The 16136-nt window shown below is 41.0% G+C and overlaps 1 long non-coding RNA gene across 1 annotated transcript; it reads right to left on the bottom strand.

The window, feature by feature from the left end:
* Window positions 1–9410: 9410 nt before the first annotated feature.
* LINC02216 (long intergenic non-protein coding RNA 2216) lies at window positions 9411–15321 on the bottom strand. Its single transcript, NR_183313.1, has 5 exons — window positions 15114–15321; window positions 13606–13760; window positions 11006–11146; window positions 10152–10268; window positions 9411–9531 (listed from the first exon to the last, which is right to left on the bottom strand). It is a non-coding gene; the product is annotated as a long intergenic non-protein coding RNA 2216 (long non-coding RNA).
* Between the last annotated feature and the right edge of the window lie 815 nt (window positions 15322–16136).

Here is a 16136-nt window from a genome sequence, read left to right as displayed (position 1 = left end):
AAAGTGACCTTAATCTTCTGGTTTCCTTATGAGAAGATGGAACAACTTGTTTTTCAAACTTGAATAAATAAACATTAAGAGATATAGATAAAACAGCCAAGAGCATAGTTGTTATATTTAATTTAGGTGTGCTGATGTTTAAAATTACGCTAGATAAAATAATGTGCATTTAAAGACCTTTTTCTTTTTTTTAACTTTCATTTTTCTTCATGCTCTTCACATTTATCTTTGACATCCATGTCTTCATCATCACTATAGCCACTTTTTGAATGCTCTAATGCAGTTTTGTTAGGCATGTCACCTTCACTTCCACTGAAGTTGTTTGAGATACAGTACTTTGTGAATCATGCATGATCCTGTCACTGGAAATTTATCCCAAGCCACTAGAATCCATTTGCGTAACATTAGGACAGTTTTTTTTTTATTTGTCCTGTGGGTATGTATTTATGATCTCTACACTCTAACCACTCACTGTATTGCTTTAAAAGTAATCTTTAAAATTTAAAAGGCTTGTTTACAATGACATCCAACATTTGCAATTGTTAGGTCATCCCTCAGGGACAATTACTAAATCTTTGTTAAATTCCATTCCTTCTTTATTACCAATTATATCCGTTATGGGTTAATTTGCTGAAAGACAATTCACTGAATGGCCAATTTGCTTAATTTACCTGTTTCTTTTCACTAATTTTAGTCCACTCGGCTATTATTTTGTCTTCCTAACAGTATTTTTTAAATGTTAATTGTTCTCTGCCTCAGTTCCCTGCTACTTGAACTAAACATTGTGTTTGCCATTTCTGAACCCATAATCTCCCCTTCTTCCCCACCATGTCTTTGCTAATAGAACCTCTGTTTTCTAATAGAACCTCTGTTTTCTTTAGGTATCCATGGCTTTCTCACAGTCATGGGACTCTGAGGAAAAAGGACCCCATCCTGCTTTTTTGGTTTTTTTTTGTTTTTGAGGTGGAGTTTTGCTCTTGCTGCCCAGGCTGGAGTGCACTGGTGCAATCTCAGCTTACGGCAACCTCCGCCTCCCGAGTTCAAGTGATTCTCCTGCCTCAGCCTTCTGAGTAGCTGGGAGTACAGGCACCCGCCACCATGCCCAGCTAATTTTTTTTTTTTTTTGTATTTTTAGTAGAGACAGGGTTTTGCCATGTCAGTCAGTCTGGTCTCGAACTCCTGACCTCGAGTGATCCACCCGCCTTGGCCTCCCAAAGTACTGGCGTTACAGGCATGAGCCACCACACCTGGCCCCCTGTTTTAATCATATTATCTTGGGAGAGGTATGATGAGGTCAGATGCAGATCAAGAGAGAGAAACTGGAAAGAGTTTCCCAATTTTATTATACTCACAGTTCCCTGGGGAGGACATAGCAGGCCATACAGGGTCACTAGGAGGAAGTACCAGGGTCTTTCAGGAGGCAGAGAGAGGGGACAGGATGATGAGCAAATACCATTATTGTGGTTTCTGTGGAAGGGGTGGGCAGGGCAGAGTATGTGGACTTAGGATTGGCTGGCTATGTTTGAACGTGGCACTCCTGTGAAATTTGCGTTCACTGCAACTGTTAAGGTATGTGGTTTGGGGTTATCTGAAGTCTCCAGATAGTTTGGGTAAGCCAGGGTTTTATAATAACTAATAGCTATTTTGTAAATGTTAAAAGATCATTTACAGAAATAAAAAGTGTGGTTACTATAATCCCCACTTTGCAGTTTTTACAGAACATCTTGAGACTCTCTCCATACTAGGCTTTCCTACCCAGCAGCTCTTACCCCATTTTAAGTCATCCCTGGAAACAGATTTCCCTTCTCCTGAGCAGCAGGAGAGGTGGTGCGTATATTAGAGAAAGGGTTGTTTCTGAGGAGTAATGACGCTGCTCTCTGTATTTTCACTCATGGGGGACAAATCATGATCCACATTCACACAGAGCTGCAAAGAGCCATTTCAAGCAACTGGAGTTAGATTGTGAGATGAAGCATGCTTGCTGCCTCTATGGTTTATCCTCTACTGTTTTCTTCTTTCATATTTGGTGAAGTGTAAGAGATTGGGCCACAGTGCCCTAAGGCTTGGGATACCAACATGAGGACCCACCGCAGATAAAGGATGGTAGAACAGAACCAGCCATTGAACAAGATTTCATCTGGGCCCTTGTGCACAGGATTACCTGCTGTTTCCTTCAGACTTACTTGTTAGTATTTTTGGACTTTCCGCCTACTTGTCCATTTCAGCTTGCTTTATGCTTTGACTGTTGATGGTGTTTGGATTTATTAACCTTGGTTTGAACATTTTGGCTTTGGGTGTCTGCATGTAGATGTGGTTCTTGCCTCACCTTAGATGCCTAGTTAGCCTATTTACATAGCATAATGCCAAATCCACATATACCACACTGTGTGTCAGGCTAGGAAAGGATTGGCAGAGGGTGAGCAAAGAGAAAACCCAAAACCAGATAGCCATAAACTCTGTAAAATGTAGGGTGCAGAGCAAAAATGGAATAATGGCAGTCATGCAAAAGAACTCAGAAAATATTTCCTAATATCAAGATTACTGGGTTAAAAGCACTCAACATTTTAAGACTCTTGATACATATTGCTACATAGGTTTCTAGGGGAATCTGCTGCTCCACTAGCAATGCACAGTACATCTAGGGCTATACAAGCCTATATAGCACCCTGATGTGAATTAGAAAACACATCCAGTTGAATGCAGCCCTGTACCACGGTGCGGCATGGCAAACGGTAGGCAGCTGGATTTCAACCCCACTCACCTCCTTGCCCAGGTATCCTTGTCTAGAACACTGCCTGAGTGACAGTCATGATAGCCCTGAGCTTGCCCCATACTTGTTAGGGTGGAGTATTTTTGTATTGTAATCATTTCAGCCAAATTCTTGTTCCATCTGCCTTGTTTTTCTGAATCTTTAACTCAATCAACTCTCCTTTCTTGTCACTGGTAGCTACATTACTCCTCTTTTTTCTCCCTCAAAACAGTCTTGTAGAAGCTATCATACTTTAATAAGATGTAAACTCAGTAGGTTAATATTTAATAAAGTTAACAGAGTTTTCAACCCCATGGTTTCTGGTTCCTTGGGTTCTAAGGGTTGCCCCTGCCACCCAGATCTCCTTTTGACCACATTCCTCTAATGGCCCATTTGTTCCAGCCATGCTGGCCTTCCTGGTGTTCCTTGAACACAACAGGTACCTCATTAACTCAGAGCTTTGCACTTGTAGTTTTCTCTGCTAGGAAGACACTGACCAAAAAATTAAAATTGTTTACTCCCCCAATCCCTTCAGGTCTGTACACAAACTATTACCTCCTTTGAGAGACATTTCCTAACCACCAGGAACCCCTTCACTGGACACTTTCCCTGCTTTGTGTTTCTTCACTTGCTACTCTCATATGTGCATATATATATATATATATATATATATATATATATATATTTATATATGTATTTGTTGCCATTGCCACTCTCCCTGCCCCAGGATGTTAGGTCCATATAGGTAAGGACATATCTTTGTTTACACTTGTATCTGAAACAGTGCCTGACATGAAGTAAGGCCTCAATAAGTATTTGTTGAAGAAAATGGATGAATGAATGGAAGATATGAGCTACTTTCGCTCTTCAGTATGCAACAATAGCTCACTATTCACGTTGCCCTCGTGGAAGCTATAATACTGAAGTAACAAAAAGTCCCAAGAGTCCAATTCTTGGCTTTTGAATTTCTAAAATATATTTTTGTAAATTTGGGTTGGGAAGACAGCATTGAGAGAAGAGACTTACTGAAAATCAAGAACCCAGGTCCTGGCATAAACAATGGGGTTAGAAGACTATCTCTGGCCAACTTTTCCTGCCATTCAGAAAGAAGGTCAAATTCACCAATAGGAGAAGGAAAGTCTAGTGAAAGACAAAGTGATGGAATAAGTCCTTGGCCATACTGTCTGTGAAGGGAGTCTGGGATCCATTTTTGTTTGTTTGTTTTTTGTTCCCCCCCACGAACAGTCCCGGGCTAAAACTGTCAAACAAGTTGAGGGTGGGGAGGAAAGGAGCAGAAACCAAAGATTAAATATGTTGGAGATTTTTCAAGAGTGGAGTAGCCCAGGGATATCCAGGCATATGCAAGCCTCTGAGAGCAGCCGCATCTTCACAAGGTGCTGATCAGTGGACCGGCACTGACTGAGGGAGGTATTTTTGGGCTGAATACCTTGAGGGTCACAAGCTGAGTCCTCCGTGCTACCACCTGAACACAAGGGGAGCAGCTGAGAGTGCCTGTATTAGTTTTCTAGGGTTGCTATCACAAAATAGCACAGATTGGGCAGCTTAAACAACAGAAATGTATTCTCTCACAGTTCTGAAGACTAGAAGTCCAAAATCAAGATGTCATCAGGGTTGATTTCTTCTGAGCCCTCTTTCCTTGGCTCGTAGATGGCTGTCTTCTCCCTGCGTCTTCACATAGTCTTCCCTCTGTGTCTCTGTGTCTGTTGGTGATAAGGACACCCCAGTCATATTGGATTAGGACCCATGGCCTAATTTTACCTGAATTCTCTCTTTAAAGGCCCTATCTGCAAATACAGTCACATTCTGAGGTACTGGTTGTTATAACTTCAACATGTGAATTTTGGAGGGACAGAATTCAGCTCATAACAGTGTCCAAGTGCCCCTATGTGAGGTACAGAACAATCAAAAGATAACAGCTGGGCTCCATAGATCTCATGGTTAGGCTGAGAACGACTCAAACAGTATGACCTGGCCATCTGAGGCTAGTTCAAGATTGCAGACTTTAATACTGGATACCACTGGAGACCCACATGAGGCAAATTATATCTCAGTGGAAGCCAGTGTGAGCAGAGAATTTTAGTGAACAAGATACCCCATTCCTCCTGAAGCCAGGGTTCTACAAAAGTCAATGTCTATGCAGCCCATGGATCACACCAAGGGAGAAAGGAAGAAGGAAGATGAGAGGGATAAGGACTGTGTGTTTACCCAAATGAATCTGAGTATGTTGGGGAGGAGGGAGAATAAACCTCTGTGAATGGCCCAGTTCACTTGAATTGACATGCTTAGATTCCCAGGAGGAAGAGATGAACTGAGATGTTTAGAAATAAAGGAATTTAGGCTGTCAGATTCATCCATGTTCTGTAGCAAACATTCTATCTTGACATCTTTAAATAACATTTTATGCATATGTTCATAACAGTATTTCTCATTTGTAAGTTTGGTTTTTCAGTTTTTCAGTTTGGTTTGACCTATTCTTTCGTCTGCTTACTGTTCTTTTAATATAGTACCCCTCATGGGTGTTGTGAAAACGACAGGGGCCTAAGCCAACTGTGAATTGTGTTACATTGGATCTACTGACTTGGACGTAATAAGTGGAAATTGACTAAAGATGGCCTTTTCAAATTATTCATATTTATATTGGATTATTTGGCATTAACATGTCCAATGTAAAATGATTTCATTCTTCTAGACTTAATACTTTTAACCTTTAGGTGAGTGTCAGAAGTGATCTGCCAATCACTTTGCAAGTATAGATAATCTCAATCTCTCTCTCGCCAACAGATACCTGGATATATAACAATAGTGTTCAACTTAGGTATTCTCCTCCACATTTTAAAGTTGTCACTTAAACATTTTCATTATATATTTAAATGTTCCGAAGGATATAATTTCTATAATAGTATTTGGCAAATATTGACATCTTGAATAAAACTTTCAGATCACTCTTTTGAATATATTTAACAAATATTTGAATTCCAAATATATGAATTCCATAGTGATTTGATTTCCACCATCATCTGTTTTAAAAATGCATGAAGAAGCACCTTTTTAATACTAGAAACTCTTGCATCATTTTTTTCTTAGTCTAGCTATCATATTTCTGTTTTCCTTCTATACAGTGACGCATTCTAATGTAACATATTGTTATGTTTGAAAGCCTTTCACTTCACCATAATTCTCTAGAACAAAAATAAATACATAAAGTTAAATTAAAAAAATTCATATGATCATAGGGTTCTAAAATGTGAACATTTTTCTTTTAAATTGACTTACTACAATTATTTCTCACATACAATGGGTCAAACAATGTACATTTGTTACAAATTATAATAAATTATTACCCATGAAAGTAAAATCGTAGGGGGAATGCATTCCATAATGAATTGGATTGAGAGAGGTTGTTAAGGTGACTTGCTTATAAGACCATTTATCTTCTCTCTTTGTACAACCACTTGAGAAAATGCACCAGCATTAAGTAAGAAAAGGTATATTATAAAAGGGGTGAGGACCCGTATGACCTCCAGCACTATTTCAAGAAAATCAGTTTTAGGAATGTGTACATAAAGAAATTGAGGATCTAAACATAGGCTTCACACTCCCTAGATATTTTTCTGTTACCCTCAGAGATGACCATGTCCAATTTTGAAGATCACTATCACTCAGTCGGTAGAGGGGATGTCAGGGGTATATTTTACCAAACTGTCACCTCACTTTCAGGCTCACACTTGGGAAAGACAGACCCCAGACTGAACTGTGATCTGCTCTTAGTCTGGGAATGTTCATTATGGCAGTTAGATATCTGAAGTACAATGATGATTCTGCTGTGGCTGAAAGAGCAAACATGTATTTTTTTTAACATAGAAAATAACTGAAAAGCAAGTTAAACATGATAGATGACCATTCCTTAGAGAACAACTGAAACTCTCAGGTGCTATGAAATTAGCATAACTCAGTGAATGCTAAAATTGAACTTATTTTTAGAGATTTGTTCTGATACAAAGCGACCGCATTATTATGAAGGGTAAAATAACCCCAGAAATCACAAGATCTTCTGAGGTTCAAATTAACAAAATATCAGAGGAGATATCACAGAGAAATCTGAAATGATTTATTACAGAAGGCAGGAATACCTTCAGGGAAGGTTTTCCCCCCAGGTTAGCTAATACACAAGCCAAGGGGATATGTCAAATGTAAGACAAATAATGGTCTTAATAGAATTGCAGAACTGAACAGCTTTGATGGAATTGCATCAAGAGAAAGCAGGAGAGGGAACACATTTATACAGAGTAAAGTATTGTCTTGGATTGCAGTGTCTCATGAAATTTGGCTTTGAAAATGGGCTCAATTTAATTTTGAGAATAGTTATTTGAATTAAAAATAAGCCTTTAGGCTAATATCCAGAATCTACAAAGAATTCAAACAAATTTACAAGAAAACAACAAACAACCCCATCGACAAGTGGGCGAAGGATATGAACAGACACTTCTCAAAAGAAGACATTTATGCAGCCAACAGACACATGAAAAAATGCTCATCATCACTGGCCATCAGAGAAATGCAAATCAAAACCACAATGAGATACCATCTCACACCAGTTGGAATGGCAATCATTAAAAAGTCAGGAAACAACAGGTGCTGGAGAGCATGTGGAGAAATAGGAACACTTTTACACTGTTGGTGGGACTGTAAACTGGTTCAACCATTGTGGAAGACAGTGTGGCGATTCCTCAGGGATCTAGAACTAGAAATACCATTTGACCCAGCCATCCCATTACTGGGTATATACCCAAAGGATTATAAATCATGCTGCTATAAAGACACATGCACACGTATGTTTATTGCGGCACTATTCACAATAGCAAAGACCTGGAACCAACCCAGATGTCCAACAATGATAGACTGGATTAGGAAAATGTGGCACATATACACCATGGAATACTGGGCAGTCATAAAAAATGATGAGTTCATGTCCTTTGTAGGGACATGGATGAAGCTGGAAACCATCATTCTCAGCAAACGATCGCAAAGACAAAGAACCAAACATCGCATGTTCTCACTCACAGGTGGGAATTGAACAATGAGAACACTTGGACACAGGAAGGGGAACATCACACACCGGGGCCTGTTGTGGGGTGGGGGTAGGGGGGAGGAATAGCATTAGGAGATATACCTAATGTAAATGATGAGTTAATGGGTGCAGCACACCAACATAGCACTTGTATATATATGTAACAAACTTGCACGTTGTGCACATGTACCGTAGAACTTAAAGTATAATAATAAAAAAAATAAAAATAAATAAGCCTTTAGAACCTGAAGAGGAATAATAATAGCACTGAATTGAGCTGCGGACAGTCTAGGGCTTTATTGACACTGGGTGGCAAGTGTGGTTTTATCTGCCTCTTCTATTTTCCTGGGCCAGGGCTGGTGTCTCTACCTGTGTTTGTGACAGGTGCACATCCTGGACCACCATGCCAGACCACGAAACCAGCCAGACCTGGTCCCAATCACAGGACCAGCTCTTTGATAACTTTGCTGCTCGGCAAACAATTACACACCAGCAAACATCGCCAGTGACCTTCTGCTTTCACCTTGGTCTCTTGGCAGGTGTGATATACCATTTTAATATAGAAAGAATTAGAGAGTATGAGGCTCTGGACACTTCAGCACATTGTTTTGAGGGCAAGTGCAAGGGTTTTCCTCTGCCTTTATTTATGCTCTGACTTCTTGATGATGTACTTTTATTGAAGATATGTAAATATCTCTGTTTCTGTTAATTTATTTTCTGATATCTCTGATGGTAGTGAGTTTTTTTTTTTTTTGTTCTGCCTGTAAGGGAGATAATTGTTTTGAGACTGTTATTTTCTATCCTTGGGGTCTCTGGTAATTGCAATGATATCATTAAGTACTTGGAAGAAAAATAGGTCATTATTTACATTTAAAGGGATATACTTTGAAAAATATAATTCTAGGCAGTTTTTCTTTAACTTGAACCAATATTATATAAAAATATTCTAAAACTCAGAAGTTTGCAAGTGAGGAAAAACGGGTTTTATTTTCCTGATGCTGTATTTTGCAGAGTCTAAGTTTTTTTGTTTTTGGTAATGCCATAAATATTGTATGAAAATATCATTGATACAAATAGTATTTACTGATTAATTTCATGAATATTCTAGCTACATGTATCACAAGTATATAGTGTCATATTTATATTCAAACTAATCATGAAAGTCATATATATATATGTAAAACTCAAATTACTCCACTCAATATTTTGCAAATTCACACCTAAAAATCACCTTGAGCAATATAGTCATAAGAACATTTCATTTGCTCCTTCTATAGGTACAGACCAGAAACTCAAGTTATACCAAGAAATATAAAGGGACTCGGGAAAGGGTTGGGGAGGATGGGAGAGCTTACTATTTAGCAAAATGCTTACTTGGGATTAAATGACCTTTCCTATAAATCAGAAGGCAAACTGTCAGCCAGGTACTTTCTCATTTGCAGCATGTACAAGCAGCAGAAAAATGAGCCAAAGCATCCTTTGAAGCAAAACATTACATAGAATGCAATTCGTTCTCACTGTGTCTCTCTTCTCCTGGAAACTATTACTGAAGATAAATCAGGTGAGGCTGCAGTGCATCTTGCTCCTCCATGGGCAGGTCCTATTAGTAGCATCTTTATTTTCTTACCTGAAGCACTCTTGCCCTTCCAAGCGACACGAGTCAGATAAAGTGAGTGTGTGCTGAGTTAGCTCCCTGTGATAAAAAAAAAAAAAAAACAAAACGGAAACATTTTGCAATATTAAAAAGAAGAAGTGTTTGGGCTATACTATTCCAGAAGACGGTTATGAAATTCATCAGTATTTCTCTGAACTAATTCCAAAGGAATGATGCTCTGCTCTTTTGGAAATTCTGCCTATTGGTTTAGAGTCACGGGTACTTTCCTAGTACACTCACAGAATCACATTAACTCTGACCATCTTGTTAGACTTACAGAAAAATGCCAACAATCCCAATGACATGAGAAGTTCCCAAAAGATCAGACTGCCTTCTTCCTTTTTTGAAAAAAAAAAAATTATAATTTACTGCTTGTTTTCCCTGGCTCTCCATATCTGTCCAACCTTATTTCTCCAGATGCCAAATTTATTGCTTGCCAGGCTGTCCTCTCTTCTGGGTGGTTTACTTGTCATATTCTGCCCCTCTGGTGCTCTCAGTTATCCAAACTTAATGCCCTGACCCTTCTGCTGACTGCAGATGTGTGCCCAGGGTTGGTATTTTCCTCTCTCACTGTGATCTTCACTGTCTTTCTCAGTGTGCCTCAGTTCAGGATGTCTGGGGAGAAAAAATACCTCTAGAGAGTTTCAGGTGAATCTTACCAAAAGGGAACAATAATGAGATGTCATGGTGATGGCCAAAATTGGATTTTTCACTTATCCTCCTTGGGTGTCCATTCTGTTTTTGAAATTGTGTCCTTGAGTCTTTGACGCCTTGCTCTGGCAATCCAGAAATAGAAAGAACATCTGAATGACACACTCCTTCTAATGACCCTTAATACCTAGGGTAGTCATTTTGCCTGTATTTTTTGGCCCTAATTTTTGAATAATATTTGGTAAGAGCACTCATATCCTGAGGTAAGCAAGATGCTCAGTGATATAAGAAAATCAAGTACAGGTCTTATCTCCTAGGAATCCTCTCATCTCATTCCTGTAAGTATGTGATCTGTGGTTGGTGCAAAATGCGAGAGGGCCTTCAGGGACCCTGGCTGTGGTCTGGGTGGCATGTGGAGGTCAGGGTGTGTGTTCAGCATGTGGGGTGGTATGCAGCTGAACAGTATGGTTGCTGTGTTGCAGTTAGAAAACCTCAAAGTCGCTCCTCTCAGCTGCTGCTGGCAGGACTTCTGTGACTCTGTTTACTCTTGGGTTTGCTTTTGTCCATGGACAGGCCCCCAGGACTTAAGTTTCTGCCCCACGTTTTTGACAGAAGACTATCTTAATTGTGAATTCCCTTTTCAATAAGGAACTGGCACAAACTTCTAAAAGTGTGGAGTTAAAAGAATACCATAGCTCATGTTTGTTGAGTGCTTACGGTGTACTGGCATTTGTTTGCATTTTCTCCTTTCTTTTTCTGAGGCACAGAGAGGATAAGTGATTTGCACAAGGTCACAGAACCATTGAGAAGTGGAGCTGGGATCCACCCCCATCAACCTAACCTCAGAACCCCTTGCTCGTACCTACTGAATGATCTTCCTATGTGATGTAGTTGGTTGTTGGAATTAGTTTCGTGATCCAGACACTTCAGAGCCAGCGCTGCTGCCCGTCTCTTGAGTTTTTCCTCCAAGATGGTTGCTGTAGCCTGAACTGCCACATTCTACCTGCGAGACAAGGAAGAAGGGGGAAGGCTGGTACTGTCAAGATTTCCACTTAGATCTCCCTGGCTAGCATGCTACCACATGGCTATCATTAGCTATAGGGGCAGCTGGGATAGTAAGGATTTAGCTTTTGTAGTCTGTGTAGTAGAACAGGCAAAAGAACAGTGGTTTGGGGCTGGGGAGAGGCAGTCAACAGTGCCTTCCACAACAAGTAATTTTATGGAGATCTCTCTTACTTGGCTTTGGGGAAGGTGCTGGAAAAGGAAATTTTCTTTCCATAAACACTATTATTCTCTATAGTAGGCTAAGTAATAACCCCCCAAGATATTTAGTTTCTAATCCCAGTAGGCTGTCCTTAAATCCTTGTAGCTCTTATACACCAAAAGGGACCTTGCAGATGTGATTAAGGATCCTGAGATGTGGAGATTATCTGGATAATCTATGTGGGCCCTAAGTGTAATCACAAGTGTCCATATAACAGGTAGCAGAGAAAGATTTGATTGCAGACATGGGGACAATGTGACAACTAAAACAAAGCAATATGTTCCTGGCTTTGAAGATAGAAGACAGAGCCATATGCCTAGCAGTGCAGCTCTAGAAACTGAAAAAGTCCAGAAAGCAGGTTGTCCCCTAGAGCCTCTCGAGGGTGTGCGGCCCTGATGACACCTTGATCTTGGTCCAGTGAAGTCAATATTGGATTTCTGACCCCAGAAATGCAACAATAAATGGATACTGCTTGAAGCCACAAGTTTATAGTAATTTGTTATAGTAGCCCTGGGAAATGAATACATTCCTCCAGCCGAGCCCTCCCTCCCAGTTCTGTTGATATGGTGCCCTTCACTAAGCTGTGTGTGTGTGTGTGTGTGTGTGTGTGTGTGTGTGTGCGTGTGCACGCATATATGTGTGTGCATGAGAGAGAGAGAGAGATAGAGACAGGAGAGGAGCATGGGGAGAGGAGAGGGAAGAGAGAGATGGCAACGTGACCTGGAGCTAGCCACAATAACAGTAGTTCTCTGCACTGAGAATGTGAGTTGTGAGTACCTTTGTTCACAGCTATAGCCATTAGTAATCATAGCTGGGAAAACAGAAAAAAAATATCCCATTAGATCCCCTTAGCCACCTGATGCTACACCGTCATATCTGTAATAGATCTAAAGTAATTGGGCCAGAGGCCTCTTTAAAGGCAAGGACTTTCATGTATAAGTAGAAGGGGTTGATTATGTGAGTAAGAGTTTCTCTTTGTCACTCTCTCTTTGGCTTGAGTAACGGATTCATTTGATAGCAGAGCAGTGCATTGACTGCATAGCCAGCTGTCCAAATGGGATTCTTTGTCTCTTGGTTTTGCCAAGGCTGAGAACAAAATAATAGAACTCCTACATTCCAAGTGAGTGCCAGATCATGTACGCGGAACTGGCAAAGGAAATGGTCAACAGTTAGTTTTGTAACCTTACTTAGAGGATAAGGAAGAGATTAGGGCCAAGAAGGAGAGAATGCCTTAGAAAAAAGATGGTTGGAACACTGTGGCTTTCTCCTCCCTCTTCCATGTTGTACTTCCCTCAGCTCAAGCTGAGAGAGGGGCTTTAGGAGGTCCACTTGCAAAATTCACGGCTCTTTGGTGGAGTTTATAGAGGCATAGGGAGAGATGTCAGACACGTTCCTGAGGAGGTGGTTAGCATTATGGGCCTGGCAGCAATGACAAGAAAGAAAAAAAAAAAAAAAGACTGCACTGGCAGCCATCTAATCTCCTTAGTAGCAAGACCAACATTTGTGAAATTTCCTGTGGGGGTGTGTGGATCTGTAATGATGGTGGTGGAGAGGAGCTGACCTATACTTGGCCCAAGAAACTCACATTGATGTGACCACTCTGGAGAGCATTTCTGGGGAGGCTGCTGGGGCCCAGGAGCTGTGAGGGTCAGAATGGGCTGGTGGAGGAGGCAGTACCCATGTCCAGGAAGCCTTGTTTGGAGGTCACCAAGAGGGAGTTCTCCAAGTCACCCTCCAAAGGCTCTTGAAACAAAGAACTGGGCTAACATTTGCCAAATGTCAGATCACAAATCAGCCATGCTCAGTTGTATCCTTTCCCCTAATGCTGTCCTCCTTTAGGCTCAATCCTGGAGGGGTCAGACCTTGGCTATGAACTAAAGGAGAAGCAATGGAAGAATACAGCTGGGAAAAAAGAGAAGCAGCTCCATATGCCTCCTGCCTACATCGTGTTTCTAGGTCTAAAACAGTAACATGCTGGAGGAGGAAAGAAAATCTAATTTAGGCAAGAGTCTGGGGCTTTTATTTTCATGTTTGACTGGGCAATTATTTCTAAAATGAAACTGTTCTTGTGCCTAAAGCCAGCTGAAAGAATTAAGGCATGTGCCAAAGATTTCATCCAGGAGGCAAGGAAGAATGAGTCCGTAGACGAAGTCTGAATGGGTAGTAAACAAAAGAATCAAGTTGTATTCTACTTATACCTTCTGGTGTGTGGCTTGTTCCATTATATGATTCAGCTGGGCCGGGCGCAGTGGCTCATGCATGTAATCCCAGCACTTTGGGAGGCCGAGGCGGGCGGATCACGAGGTCAGGAGATGGAGACCAGACTGGCTAACACAGTGAAACCTTGTCTCTACTAAAAATACAAAAAATTAGCCAGGCGTGGTGGCGGGCGCCTGTAGTTCCAGCTACTCGGGAGGCTGAGACAGGAGAATGGTGTGAACCCGGGAGGCGGAGCTTGCAGTGAGCCAAGATTGCGCCAATGCGCTCCAGCCTGGGCGATAGAACGAGACTCCCTCTCAAAGAAAAAAAAAAAAAAAAAAAAAAAAAAAAAGAGTCAGCTGTTACTGTCCAACTCCTGGTAGATCAGAGCAGAGTAACTGGGTTGCTTTAGATAGGAAGATTATTAGGTAACTTTAAAAAATATGCTTAGTTAGTCTTAACTTAGTTCAGGTAAAACTGCTATGCATGTGAGGGCTGCCATAGCTGCACTCCTGTCTAACTTCACATTAGAGCAGATCAGAGCCCAGGGCAGGGATATTTTGACTTGGCTCCTTCACCAACCCTCTCATCACCCAGATCTGGCCTCTTTCCTCCTGGTTTATTGGAAGGCAAGCTCATGGTGCTGGAATGGGGCGACTCTGATTCCATTAACATTCTCCAGACCCAATTCCTTAAACATTACTTTTGTTCTGCCTTCCATTTTGGCCCCACGTTCCTCTCCTCACCCTCAATCCCCTCTTCTAGTCATTGCCTGAAGTGTTCTTTGGATACAACAGCAAAGGTTGCAGTGAGAATTGGTAGCCAGGTCAGAGGTCACCTTCAAGGCCACAGCCTGAGTGGAAGGTGAATTTCCCTTTCCCCTGTTAGGGGGCTGTTAGTGAAATAAAGAAGGGAAAGTATGAGGAGAAATTGAAGAGACATTCAGTATACAAGGGGGATCAATTTTTGGCTCAAATTTTGGGTGCATCTCAGGAAAAGATGAACTCCCCTGTTTTCAAGCTGTACTTTTTGAAGGAAAAGAGATTGATTTAGTGAGTCATTTTTGAAATCCACTGAAACATGCATTGGTAGGCTCAGAACTGTGCGGTGGATTGATCCCAACTTAATGCAGTTCAACAATGCTTGTTGAAGCAATCACCGTTAAAAGGATACACTAGCAGTGCTGAAAAGCTGAAGGCCAAATGGGTTTCAACTTTCCTCAGCACTGAGCCAGAAACTCCTCATTTGTTTTCCTTTTCTGAGAATCACCTCATGCTATTCAGACAAGGTGACAATCATGCCTGAAGAAGCTCTGTTAAGCCAATTTACATCAGGTGTGCGGGTGCAGATTTTAGAGGAAAGCTATGACTGATGAGAGATTGTTTTCCCAGCTCAACGGAGCTTTCCAGTGACTAAATAACTGAACTATTCTTTCAAAAGAGTCAGGAGGGGACTCTAGTTCCCCTTCTACCACTCACAGGCTGTGGGACCTTGGCCAGTTATTAACCTGACGGGTCTTCACTTATACGATGGTGGAATGCAGGCTGAAAGCTGGGGGCCAATGTGAGTTACGATTCTGTTGTTTTCTGAATTTTTTTCTGTTGGTGGCCAGTTGGTGTGCATATGTGGGTGATTTTAGCCTTTCTCTGGGTCTGGCTTTATGATGTCACTAACAAGCCCTGGTGGCCACAGCAGTCTGACTGCCAGGTCTGGCCTTGGCATCTGAAGACAAACCCAGGCTTCAGCTCCCTTGCCTCTCACTACTGATAGATGACCAGAGCTATCCTCTGATTCCTTATTAAAAGAAAGAAAGTGAAGAACACCTTGTTTTGGAATTAAAAATAGATCTTGGACTTCTTGTTTCTAAGTATTGAATATTTCAATATAGTAGTATAATGTTTCTATTAATTCTTAAAAAGAATTACCAGACTCAGCTCGTTACTTTTAGATAGGCTATCAAGGCTGTGTGTATCATTGGCTTTGTGTAATGCACCTTTTGTTCTCAGCCATTTTATTACTTTGGGTGAAGATGGACAAGGGAGACTATTTGTTTCCTTTACTACATTGGATTGTGTGGCTTGTGAAGAGGGAGATAAGACATAACTCCTGTTCTAAAAGAGTTAACAAGAGAGTTGGAGCTAAGACATATGAATAAGAAAGATTTAGAAAAGGAGCTTCATCATCAGTAAATATGAGGCTCCCAGGTGTGGAGATCCTGGGTCAAGTGTGGATGGAATATGGAAATACACTTTATAGCCTGTCTCATTACGTATGGTATAGAATTTGTTTGCAAAGCTTTGGTTTCCTCTGCCACTCTGCCTGTTGACAGTATCTGTGGTCTGTCAGAGCAGTTCAGTCTAGAAGTCCCTACATTTTTATTCTTCATGGCCCTCTCAGGATAAGAGGAGGTGCTCTTTCTACAAATCACCAGTTACTTCAGAGGGGAGCTGTATATTCTTAATTCCTTATTTAATTATCTCTCTTCCCAAATTTCTGGGAGCCCTACGCAGGCAGGGGTCAGGTCTATTTT

The sequence above is a fragment of the Homo sapiens genome, chromosome 5, assembly GCF_000001405.40.
Source record: "Homo sapiens chromosome 5, GRCh38.p14 Primary Assembly".
Classification (NCBI taxonomy): domain Eukaryota; kingdom Metazoa; phylum Chordata; class Mammalia; order Primates; family Hominidae; genus Homo; species Homo sapiens.
The sequence above is the reverse complement of the archived record's forward strand: the minus strand, read 5'-3'. Positions and strand labels throughout refer to the sequence as shown.